This window comes from Homo sapiens, chromosome 5, assembly GCF_000001405.40.
Source record: "Homo sapiens chromosome 5, GRCh38.p14 Primary Assembly".
In the NCBI taxonomy this organism is placed as follows: Eukaryota; Metazoa; Chordata; class Mammalia; order Primates; family Hominidae; genus Homo; species Homo sapiens.
This window is the reverse complement of record NC_000005.10, coordinates 2,840,622-2,852,962: the sequence shown is the minus strand read 5'-3', so window position 1 is coordinate 2,852,962 and position 12,341 is coordinate 2,840,622. Positions and strand designations below refer to the sequence as shown.

Here is a 12,341-nt window from a genome sequence, read left to right as displayed (position 1 = left end):
CCGCATCGCCGGGGCTTTCCTCAGGTGTTACTGGCAGTCTCTGAAGACTTTAGGTACGCTGGTTTACAAACACATTTTTTTCCATTTTCAAAATTATCTTGGTGTTACCAGTTGAATTAGGATTAAAATAACATGTTAAAATCCTAACCTCAGACACTTGTGACTGACCTTATTTGGACTGAGGGTGCTTGCAGGTGCAATGAAGTTAAGGTAATGTCATTAGTGCCTTCAGCTATTCTTATAAAGAGACACACAGGGAGACAGCCACCTGACTGACACCCAGGCTGAGGCTGGGGAAATGTAGCTGCAAACCAAGGAAGGCCAAGGGTTGTTGGCCATGAGCAGAGGCAGAAAGAGCAAGGCGAGGCCACCCAGAGTTCCAGAGGGAGCCTGGTCCTGCCAGTGCTTTGGTTTCAGACTCCTTGCATCCAGAGCTGTGGGAGCACAAACTCCCACTGTGTTATACCACAGTGTGTTTTGTTATGGCAGCCCTAGCAAGCAAATGTGGCTAGGTAGAAAATTGCAGACAGGGTTTTTAAAAAAATACACCAAGGAAGTTCTACTTATCTTCAATTATATCAAAGACTTTTCTGAACAAAAAAGCAAATCATTTTCACGCTCCTCCTGGAATCTCTTGCCCTTGTATAACTCAAGATGACTCAATTTCTCTTCTTCCCGTCTCCATTTTGAAATGAAACATGACTACAGAAATGACTCTCCTTGTGTTGTATCTGCCTCTTTCATACACAGAATGTTAGAGAGAGCTCACAGACTTCATTCCTACAGAGAGGCAGAGGCTGGGTGGGCCGGGCCAGGCATGCTCCCTGCTCTGAAATGAACATTTCTGTGTGCCAGGTCTCCCTCTAGGCAGCTCCAGCCCAGGGAGAAAAGCAGGGCCCGCAACCCTCCTGAGGCAAAGCCGGAGGTGAACGTCCCATTGGAAGGAAAGCTCTTGGCTGTGCAGGCTTTTACTATCTGCATATTTATTTCACCTCTTCAATGAAATCCAATTTGAAGCTATTAATATTAATGCACTGAGATAATTCTGATGATGAATTAATAAAACACTTGGCCTCTCAATGTGCTGTTTGCTCATACATTTAATGATGCTCTTAACTGGAAAGAGGAAGAAACAGGGCAGGTTCCACCTGGAGCCTAGAAATTAGAAACCACTTCATTGTTTTGAGCTTGCCGCTTTAATGACAATCAATAGAATCGATCTGGGAGTAGAAAAGTATTTACTCAATCTCTACCGTGTGTTACAGTTTCTATTTAGATCTCACAAGCATCATCTGAATACAATATTTCTGCACAGTCCTAGGTTTGCTAATGAATTACATGCTAAGTAAATTTTTCATCCCCCACCGGACTCCCCAGCCAACACATATGGTTTGGATACCATTACATACTGCTTGCTCCTAATAACAACCTAGAATGGTACTGCCGCAGGGCACCGACGGATGGCATTGTGAGAAAACCAAGACGTCATCTCCATGGCCGACTTGGATTTACTTGTGAAACAGACATTATCCTTGGCCTATGCTTCTTCAAAAACAACTCCAGGCTGGTGGCCTTTTATTGTTCAAATGAAGATAATTCACCACTCACACTCTGCTGGATTACTTATTGAAAAGACAATTTAACTCCAATTAATGTAACTAGATGTAGTATTAAACTTAAACTAAATGCACCTTCCCCTCAACAATCTTTCAACAAATCTTTGTTAAAGTCCTCTAATTAGGCCATTTTTCAGTTGATTAAAAACAACATCAACAATGTATTGTTCTTGGAGTTTCTCCCAAGCACAAACACTTTTCCGTCCAATATTGCAGCTCACAATCACACTCTACAAGGAAGAGACTATTACCCACTTTATCAAGATTGAAAATTCAAGATCTCACACTGAAGCCATTTATATAAAACCAGCTACTAAAGAGAACTAACAGCAGTAAGACAAATCTAGTTTGGAATGAATTTTAAAAATGGAATCACTGTAAATGAAGTGACGGTAATCAAAGAAAAACATCCACCGTTCTATTCTTCAACTTGCAAAATAGATATTATTTGAAGCCGATGTAAATTTTTAGGAAAACCAGCAGGACAGGATAAGACAAAAATCTACTGAGGGCAGAGCTGCTCATTCACTGACACTTACAAGGTGCTTCCTAGCATCGACTCTTCTGAAATTGGAGGGAGCTGTTGCATGAGGAACGTGCCACGGGTTTGTGTGTGTCTCTCAGTGTTCAAAGGGCATCCGCTGTAGGCTCAGAGAGCTTGCTTGATTTTTCTGTGCTGCAGGATAAAAGGGAAGTAAGTTTTAATTATTGGTGAACATGCAGGTTTAGGAAAGTTAACGTGAATGGCGACTGGGAGTTGGTGCTCTCAGGAGCAGTGAGAGGCGTCACACATTCCTCGTTCCAGGAAGACCGTTAGAAGACAGTTTTTCTAAAGGGGATACAAGCAGTAGCTAAGCAATCATCTGAAGCGGCAGCTTCAAGAGGTCCGTTCATGTGAGTACTTCAGAATGAAAAAATCTAGCGTCATAGAAAATATACTTTTAAAGAATATGGTGTAGTAAGTGCATTAACTATTACCTAGCCCAGGAAATGGCCACACACATACAAATGTATACAGTATGTGGATGTATGCATATACTTTATATAGTTTTATGTATATCAGGTGTATATATACTATATGTGTATTTGCAATCAGAAATGTAATTACAATGCTCTAAGTGTTTATTAGACATTTAATCTCTATAAACGAAGCTTTCAGTTATCGTGATATGGCACTTTTTGTCTACTTACAAATGGGACCATAATACAAGCTTAGAAAAATCATACACAAAGTGAAACACTAAAAAAATTCATTTATCATTAGTGCAAAACATACCTCTAGTAGACAGGATCTCAGCTGCAAAACAATTCACAGAAAGAAATAGCTGAGGCGCCTCTACATTGTTCACGATGAAATCTAATCCTCCAGACCCAATTTCTCACCTGAAAATAGTCAACAATAGCAACAACAGTTGATTTTTTTCATTGCTACTTCTAATTATTTCCACCCCAAGCAGAGTATTCTAGAGATTAAAAATAATACTTAATCATAGTGACATGGACAGACTTTATGATCAGTCTCTAGTTTAAAAATGAAAGGACAATATCCAAGACAATCAGTAAAACAAAAATAGGGCAGAGTGACTTCCCTGTGCTGGACTTGCACAGCCATGTCTGACCCACGTAAAGAAAGAGCAGCCCCTCGGGCCAGTTGGAGAACTAAATGAACTACTTTTAGGATGAAATTTGGGATCCAGTGAAGAGCTGCTGTTGGGAGTGCCCCCTTCCCCACCCCAAAGCACACACACACTGCACAGAGTCTGGCTGCTAAATGTTGCTGTGAACCTGAGGAACGTCATGGAGTTTGGAAATCCAGCCCGCCACCACTGGGTTACAGCTCAGAGAGTGTACCTTGTCGTCCCGTGAATGCTGGACCTCTATTCAAATAGCTCACCTTTCCCATGAATTGTTTTTGGAAAAGGTCTGGCATAAGTACATGAATAAATAAAATGAAATGAAGTAAAATAAAGTAAAAGTATTTTCAACCTTCTGCCACCTTCCACTGTGGCTCTGAGACTCAGATTCATGCTGGAAGTGGGGAGATATCAAGTGAAACATGAAAAACAGTTTTATATTTTAAATTTATGGGACCAGAGGATAATACATCATTTTTTTTCCTCAAGCTCAGTGCAGTAAATTGTCTTTAACCTATTTGGTATGTCTTGCCTATCACATTGGTTCCATTTGCGTTAATGCCTTCAGTCTTGACTAAATTGTACATTTTGGAAGTGCTCTGCCACAGAGTTAATTGTTTGGGGGAAGCAGTTTGCCCTGTTTTTTCTAGACATAAACAGATAATGTAAAAAGAGGAAAAAGGCAAGCAAGATCATCCTCGCAGCTCTTCCCTACCCTTGGTGTATATAAAATGCCTTCCTGATGCTTTAAGGTGACGAAAATGACGGGGGGTCGTGTCTAAATCAGCTAAGCTTGATGCGATGCCAAAGCCTTTGGCGAAACACAGATTGACTTAATTCTTTCAATAATGACTTTGGTCCGGAGCACTTCTCCACCACAAGAGGGAGAAACCCAACAGAACAGAGAAAATCTCCTCACTCGGGTTATCTTGACTCTGCTGCAGGCAAAACCTAGAAATATTTTTTTAATCGAGATTCTCTACAGCAGCCCTTTCCAAATGCCAGTATCCATCACCGCTGACTGGATCAATAGCTGTGTTTTGGCCCCAGTCTCCTGCGAGAGATGGCATGCCATCAGTGATAGACAAATATCACAGTTAAGCAAAGTATCCAGCCAGACCTGGTAACATTTTTATTGATTTTTGTTGTGCAAATAATGTCTTTTTGGGCTGAATAAATGGCTTTGAGCCAAACAGTCATTGTTTATGATTCCAAAATGCAATAAAGGGACAGGAAATATATTATAGCCAATGTCTCAAGGCACACAACATAATCATCCCTTGGTAGTAAAAAACTACCCATCTGAAACCAAGAGTGCATATTTATCCATGCTTAAAGGTGCCTGTAGGACTTGCAAATCTTACACAAAATGTCCTGTTAGGAAACAGATGGCATTGCCCTTTAACCTATCGAATAACTACTAGAAAACCAAGCAAAAAAATAAGCACTATATTTCTTCAATCAATACAAAGAAAACAGTTTATTATGCTCCTTTCAAATGAAATATCAAAGTTGCCAAAACAGCATCCATTCACTTTGAAAGAAAACACATCAAAAAGCTCCCTGACTTTATCAAATGTTGTAAAATCAGAGAATATTTTAGTAAGGTTTTTAAAACTATGCTCATTCAAAATAATCGTGAATTCATTTCACTGGGTCGCTCAGCAGAAAGTTGGCTATGAAAGTCTTGTCCCTGAGCTGAAAAATGTCTTTGTGTGTGTGTATTAATGTTGGCATCCTCATTCCTGCTTCGGGTAGCTGGAATTTCCAGCGAGGCTATGGAGCTGGGTGACACGCATTTCTTAATAAGATGCATACTCGCTGTTTGCATTCAAACCCCCACATAAATGATGGGAGTGCAAGTTATTTCATGCCCGTCCACACTGCAGTGCAGCAGCCCATGGTCTATGAAACGGTCTCCTGAGGAACATCCGGTTGGTGTTGGATTCGTACACAGGCAACGCCTCCAGGAGTAACTATGATTTGGGTGTAATTAGACTTGGCTTTCCAAAGTCCTGCAAAAGTGAGCATGCGTTCCAAACCATAAATTACCCAACTCTTCATGTCCTGCCATGGACCGGCAGATGAGAAAACATAAACTCAGCTTCACCTGTGTCTTTCTCATATTCCCTGAGCCTGATGTACTAAGATTGATTCTTGTATTTAGTATCCGTAATTGGATCAGTATTTTCCCTTTTCAGAAATATAAGGATTATTTTTTAAAAAGCTCAATTATTTATATATTACTCTAATTTATTTACTACTCTACTTCTTTAATTACACTTTCAACAACTAAAGCATCCTACTTTCAAAAAATATTTCATATTTCTTATATTATCAAAGTATGCTCAATGCAAAAAGCACTCAGAAAATATTTTTAAACTAACCTACAATTCTTACTATAAAAACATTACATTCATTTATTCTTTGTGTGTGCATGTATATATATATATATATATATATATATATATATATATATATATATATATATATATGTTTTGTTTTGTTTTGTTTTGAGACAAGGTCTCACTCTGTTGCCCAGGCTGGAGTGCAGTAGCGCAGTCTCGGCTCACTACAAGTTCCGCCTCCCTGGTTCAAGTGATTCTCCTCCCTCAGCCTCCTGAGTAGCTGGGATTACAGACGTGTGCCACCACGCTCGCCTAAATTTTGTATTTTTAGTAGAGACGGGGTTTCACCATGTTGATCAGGCTGGTCTCAAACTCCTGACCTCATGATCCACCCGCCTCGGCCTCCCAAAGTGCTGGGATTGCAGGAGTGAGCCACTGCACCCAGCCCTAACACAATTTTTATACTTATATACATATATTATATACATATAACAAAGTGTGGTTTTATGTATGATACACACACAGAAAGATGTCTTCCAGAAAGATGCTGTTGACACAAGGTCATCCCGGCAGGTTCTGCCTCTCTCTCCTCCCCTACAGCATCACCAGCAGTGAGCATTAGTGTTTTTTTAATCTTAGTCAATTATAAAATTTTTAATCTCAAAAATTAAAAAAAAAATAATCTCAAGCTTTTTAATCTAAATTTTTAGGAACTTTTTATTTCCAATGAAGCCAAATAGTTTTAATGTTTACGCATTTATCTTCTACAGAAAGCTATTAATGTCATTTCTATGTTTTATTCTGATTTTCCCATTATTGTTTAGTTTCTCATTATTCCACATGCACAGTAGAAGCCCCTGGCCAGCCTAGGACAGCTCTGCAAGTTGTCCCCAGTTTTTCTCTTTGCCTTTTCATTTGATTATGGTGCTTTTGATTCAATGCTGTGACCTTTAATTTTAACGTGTCACCTTGACTGACCACAGAGTGCTCAGAATAAATATTATTTCCAGGTGTGTCTGGGAGGGTGTTTTCAGATGAGATCAGCCTTGGAGTCCTTAGACTCAGTGAAGCAGGTGCCCTCCCAATGTGGGTGGCCTCATCCTATCCATTGAGGGCCTGAGTGGAGCAAAAGGCAGAGGAAGAGGGATTTGGCCCCTTTTTTCTGTCTTACTTCTCAGCAGAGACAGCTCATCTCATCTCATCTGCTCTGGCCCTTGAACTGGGACTCACACCATGGTCCCCCTTGCTCACAGGCCTTTGGATTTGAACTGAATTACACCCCCAGCTTCCCAGGGCCTCCAGCTTGCAGAGGCAGGTCATGGGACTCCGCAGCCTCCATAATCATATGAGCCAATGCCTCCTAATCCATCCCCATCCCCCTTTCTCTCTCTCTCCAGTATTTCTTATTGACCGCTACAAATACTGGAGGACCATTTTCTGTTGGTTTTCTTTAATCTGCTCTATTAGTCTTTTGTGGTTTCTATCTCTGATGTTATTCTTAGGAAGATGACACCCACCGCACCTTTATGTGGACGCTCTCCCAATTTCCCTTTTTACATTTCATGCCAACCCCATGGGAACTTGCTTTAGCTAAGGTGAGCAGTGGGGATCTTATTTTATTTTTTTCTCAGTACTGTTTATTTAACACTTGATCCTTTTCTGGATCATTTGAAATGCTTCACACATCAGCTATTAACCGCTTCTTCAGAATTTAGACTGCTTCTGGAATTTCTGGATGTTTTTGTCTCTAGTTTTGTCTCTTCTCTTCAGTTCTCTACAGTGATTGTAGCCTTACTTTGTGATGTAATATCTGGAAGTTGATAATCTCTTAGTCTTCTTTTAAAATATGTGGAATGTAATATTCATGCAGCCTTTTAGATAAACCCTAGCATTCTGATTGGAATCATATACTGTTTGTAAGTTAACTCATGGAGGGTTGGTTATAATACTAAATTTTGCCCAAGAATCTTGCATTTTTCTCTTTACTAGGCTTCTTTCTTGTTATGTAATTTTATTCTTCAACTTCCTGTATACTTTTATTACATTGTTTCTTAGCATTTTTAAGGTTTTGTCATTATAGAAAATGAAGTTTGTTTCCATAATACTTTCTATCCCGTTCATGGTTAGCAGAGGCCCAGGTTATTGTTCAAATGTAATCATTGAATCAAATGAACTCATTCACTTCGTTGTTCTGTAACTAGATATTTTGCTAAACTGTCTTACAGTGTAAATGGTTTTTATTGCCTTTCTTGAGTTTTCTAGGTGAAGAGCCATTTTCTGAAAATTATGTTGATCTTGTCTCTTGCTTTCAAATATTTTAGCTTGCGTATTCATAACTAGAATTTCCAGGGTAAAGTTCTAAACAACAGCCTGACAGTTGGATCCAAATCCTCATCGAGGGGCTTTATTGGACAATAATCTTTTTTTTTTTTAATTTCCTCCTGGGAGCCTGGAGGTTGGTATATGCTAGGGGAGAGAAAAAGGCTCTTTCCCACCCAGTTTTTCATCTTGGAGGTGTCATGTGAGAATAACAGTGCTGGCCAAATAAATCTAGAAGTGGCGTCCAATGGGCAACATCCCCAGAAATTACCAGGCGGCTTTGTAGAATTCATCAAATAACATTTTAATATCAGCATTACTTGTAGTTATTTTTATTCTGAAAGATGAGGAAATATGCATTACAGATTTATAAAGTTGGTGCCGATGGTGTATGCAGGCTAATTTTTGAACTATTCTCACAAAGAAAAGTTAATAGTCCAGAAATCTCCACTCATGTGTATGATCTAGCTGACCCAAATCTTACTTCTCATCTACATACTCAAATGTTACACGTGGAAACTGAACGCCTCAGATATGATTTTTCCTTTGTAATTGCAGGAGTTTTAACACATGAGTTTTGTAAGTGCAACATTTTAGTTTCATCTGCAGTCAACCAAAAGAACAGGACTAGCAGATTTCCGGGCATTTTCCTCCCTTTAGATCCGGTCTCAGGTGTTTCATCTCTGTGATCCTGACGGATGCATGTGACAATCACTGTTCTAGCTGGAGAAATAATGGGACATTTGGTGATAGGAGGATTTCCTCTCACTCAACAACAATTGGTTTCGTCGATCCTATTAATTGAGGAGCAAAACTTCCTTTCTGCTCTCTCCTGCAAGATATATTCATCATCTGTGTCCTTCACACAGATCTCAGGCTTAGTCTACACTCTCCAAATGTCCTAAAGAGGAAACAAGATATGTAACTGATATACATGGGGAGTTTGCAGAACCTTCATCTGTTCTCAAAATTAAGTTCATTACCCCAGCCATATTTAGAAAAGAGCATACATGCATGTGCTTACTCTCTGAAAAAAAGAATGCTTTATTTAAACATTGAGAAAAGGAGCATTTAGACTTTCTTAAGTTTGAATACTATATGCGTGTTAAGGAGATCCTAACTACTAGGAATCTACCCAAGATAAAACAAAACATATTTCAACACAAAGACTTGTGTGTGAACGTTCACAGAACATTCTTCCTAGCGTGCAAAGGTGGCAACACTCTAAATGTTTTTCACCTGGCAAATGGATAACAAATGTGGTATATCCACACAGAGCAGTAGTATTCAGCAATAAGAAGGAGTGAACATCAACCTGCAACATGGATAAGTCTGAAAATATTATGCTAAGTGAAAGAAGCCAGTCAAAAATGTCACACAAACACATTTTCATCCCATTTGCTTGGAGTGCTCAGAAAGAAGATGAGTGGTTGTCAGGGGCTGGGGGTGAGAATGAAGAGTCACTGAAAGTAGACACCCGATTTCTTTTTGGGGTGATGGAAACATCCTAAAACATCCTAAAATTAGACTTTGATGGTGGTTGGACAACTCCGTAAAGTTACTAAAAGTCATCAAATTATACACTTAAAATGGATGAATTTTATGGTATGTAAATTTTACCTCAAAAAAATTGTGTTTAAAAAGGATAATGCCTGTTAATTTATGTTTTAACAAATGTTTATTAAGCACTAATCTTTGAAAGAGATACATGAGGCCTTTTCCCACATACTCTTTCATTGCAAGAGGGTAGCTAGGATGCATGAAGCCAACAGACAGGAGAGGGGCATTAAGCTCTGGTGGAGATCCCTGGGCAATTCACCAGATGTTCTCCTGAACCCCTTTCTTTACCTTTGACAGGGGGTACCGCTATGCTCCTGACGGTCCCACTTTCGTCTACCAATGGGAAATAGCCAATGCTTGCTCGTGGCATATGGTCAGGCTCAGCAAACAATCCTTTCATCTGGATTTGGGGCATCTCCATGGGGGAGCATGATGGAGAAGGCGCATGAGCCCTGGAGCAAGCAGTTCAGAGCAGAATCCTGAGCTCCACCGCCTATCAGCCGTGCAAGCCAGGCCAATGGTCAGCCACTGCTGCACCCCAGCCATCTCATCTGAAATACAGCAGTATAAGTTTTACAAGGTTGTTGTGCGACTGCAATGCCATAACCTTAGAAAACACTGACCGCAGGTTCTGTACACAGGAGGAGCTCCGTAAGTGTTGATTTTTTAAAAAAAGTCAGCCTGCCTTATGCAGTAGAAAAATGTAAAGCATTGAACTGGTACTTATCTCAAGTATTTAACCAACAAAGGAACATGTGTTCTAAATGTAATTATTCAATAGGCAAGACACGCATGTGTTCATCTGCCACCTTAGTGACACAGATGGGGTTCATGACCTCAGACACCTGGGAGATTCCCCATCGGGTAGGGTCTCCTATAGTTCACCAACAGCCTGCCCCATCTCTAACTGTCTGACACATACACACATGACATCATGGGGAGTGAAATACCAGAAGCAGATGGGAAAATTCAGGAGGCTTTGTATCTTACCAGATGGTTGAAAATCTCTCCCAATGACATAAACTTTGGTAAAAATAAGTGCTTAAATAAGTGCTCATTCAGACAAGCCAACCTGAGGGTGTCCTTGTGCTTGCCTAGGCCATCCCCAAGGGCAGGTGTTCCATGCCTCATGTGACAGAGAAAGGCTCCTCAGGAAACCCACTGGAAGTAGTTGGACACCATCTGAGGAAGTCAGCCTGCACTGCCAAGGGGGATGTGTTAGATAAACACCTTTTACTTGCTGCAAAATCAACTTGACAGGCACTCAGGTGTCTACAGGCTATGCCAGAGTTGACCCTCCCAAGAGCTGCCATACTGTCAGTGCTGCTAACAGATCAACTATCAACTATCACAGCGACATTGTAAACCTGAGTTATCCTAAATTCCAGATCAAGCCAGCTTCTTGCATTGCACAACTTGGCAGAGAAGTGGGAATGATGGAGAGTGGGAGACACAGACAGGGAGCCCCTACCGCCTGGCACAGCCCCTTAGACTCACCAAAAGGAACTGACAGACACCTTGCAAGAGCTCCCAGCCACTGCAGAGGACTGCGCAGTGACCACAAAGTGGTAATGGCAAGGTGTCTGTTGGTCTCATTTTACCAACATTTGTTGTGATCATTGACAAGTTCCTTAATCATCTTTAGCTTCAGGTTGCCCATTTTTTAAATCACAATAATAACACGATCGATCCCAGGGGATCATTATAAGAAACTAAGAGTGGTAGGATCTATAGAGTGCCTGGAGCCAAAGAGGAGTGTGCAGAAATTCATTTCCTTTTTCACCTTGCACTGCTTTTCTTCTTTCCCAGGTGACGCATGTTTTAAGGTGCAGGCTAGCAAGCCCAGTGCTCCCAGCACTACCTGATATAAAACCAGTGCAAGGAGTAACTCTCACTGGCCAAGAAGAATGTTTCCTGACCTTTCATTTTGAAAAGCCCCTTGACTTTCCCCACACAATCTTCCACCTTGCATCCACAAGCATGCATTGTGATAGATGGCAAGGGCAATGTGGGGAGGGGTGGAGGCAGCTGGCCAGCCGTCTAGAGGAGAAGCAACACACATCTGGGGAGGAAGGAACTCTCTTGTGGTGGATTCATCACCGTCGTACTTGCGCAACCAACATTGTCCTTGATAGAAAGCCATTGAGGGACTTTCCTGGAGCTGAGTTTGCACATCCACTGTGGCCAAGCACCCCCATGGTAAGACGTCTAGACTGTCAGAATCCAGCCCAGACACCAGGAAGAGACTTTGGTGTCTAAATGGACCAAAGCCACCTACATTGTGAGCAGCTTAACACAACCCCAAAATACTACTTCTATTGTTTTGTTTCTTTTTTCCTTCTCAAAAGTTCTTAAAGTTTTTGGGCAGACAATTGTAATCTTTTTGTCTCTATGTCAGGCTGAGAGGTTTCATTTTTATTAGCCACAAAAGGGTCTATTTTAATAGGTCATTATAATTTTCATTGCATAGTCTACATTCTTTAAAATTGTAAATTTGGGGTAGGAAAAATCAGAAACAGATTTCCAGCAAAACTCGTCAAGTTCCTGAATGAGCCTCCCTCGAGAGAGGTCAAACGTGAAGAAAAGCTCAGAGGAACAGAACTGTATCCCCACGGGTGCTGGGGTTGCTCCAATATGATGTTACATCCACTCAGGTCCTGGCCTCTTTAAATAAATGGCAGGAAATCATGTTGCATAATTCAGGAAATAAAAAAGACTTAGGAGAAGTGGCAAATAGCCCAACAGATCAACAGTATTTGTTCTACAGACCTGAAGTTCCTGATCAACAGCAGGTCACAGTGGTTGGGTCTTGCTCGTTTTTCTTTCTAAAGGTTTGACAGGACAGCCAAAATCTTGGTTTTCTG

The 12,341-nt window shown here is 40.7% G+C and overlaps 1 annotated feature.

Annotated features, from left to right (window-relative positions):
- Window positions 1,654-2,853: an enhancer, noted in NCBI's record as "BRD4-independent group 4 enhancer chr5:2850224-2851423 (GRCh37/hg19 assembly coordinates)". NCBI's record gives its function as "activates an origin of replication core promoter dependent on BRD2, P300/CBP, MED14 and CDK7 cofactors, and independent of BRD4, by STARR-seq in HCT116 cells {active_cell/tissue: HCT116}" and the evidence as "EXISTENCE:reporter gene assay evidence [ECO:0000049][PMID:35650434]".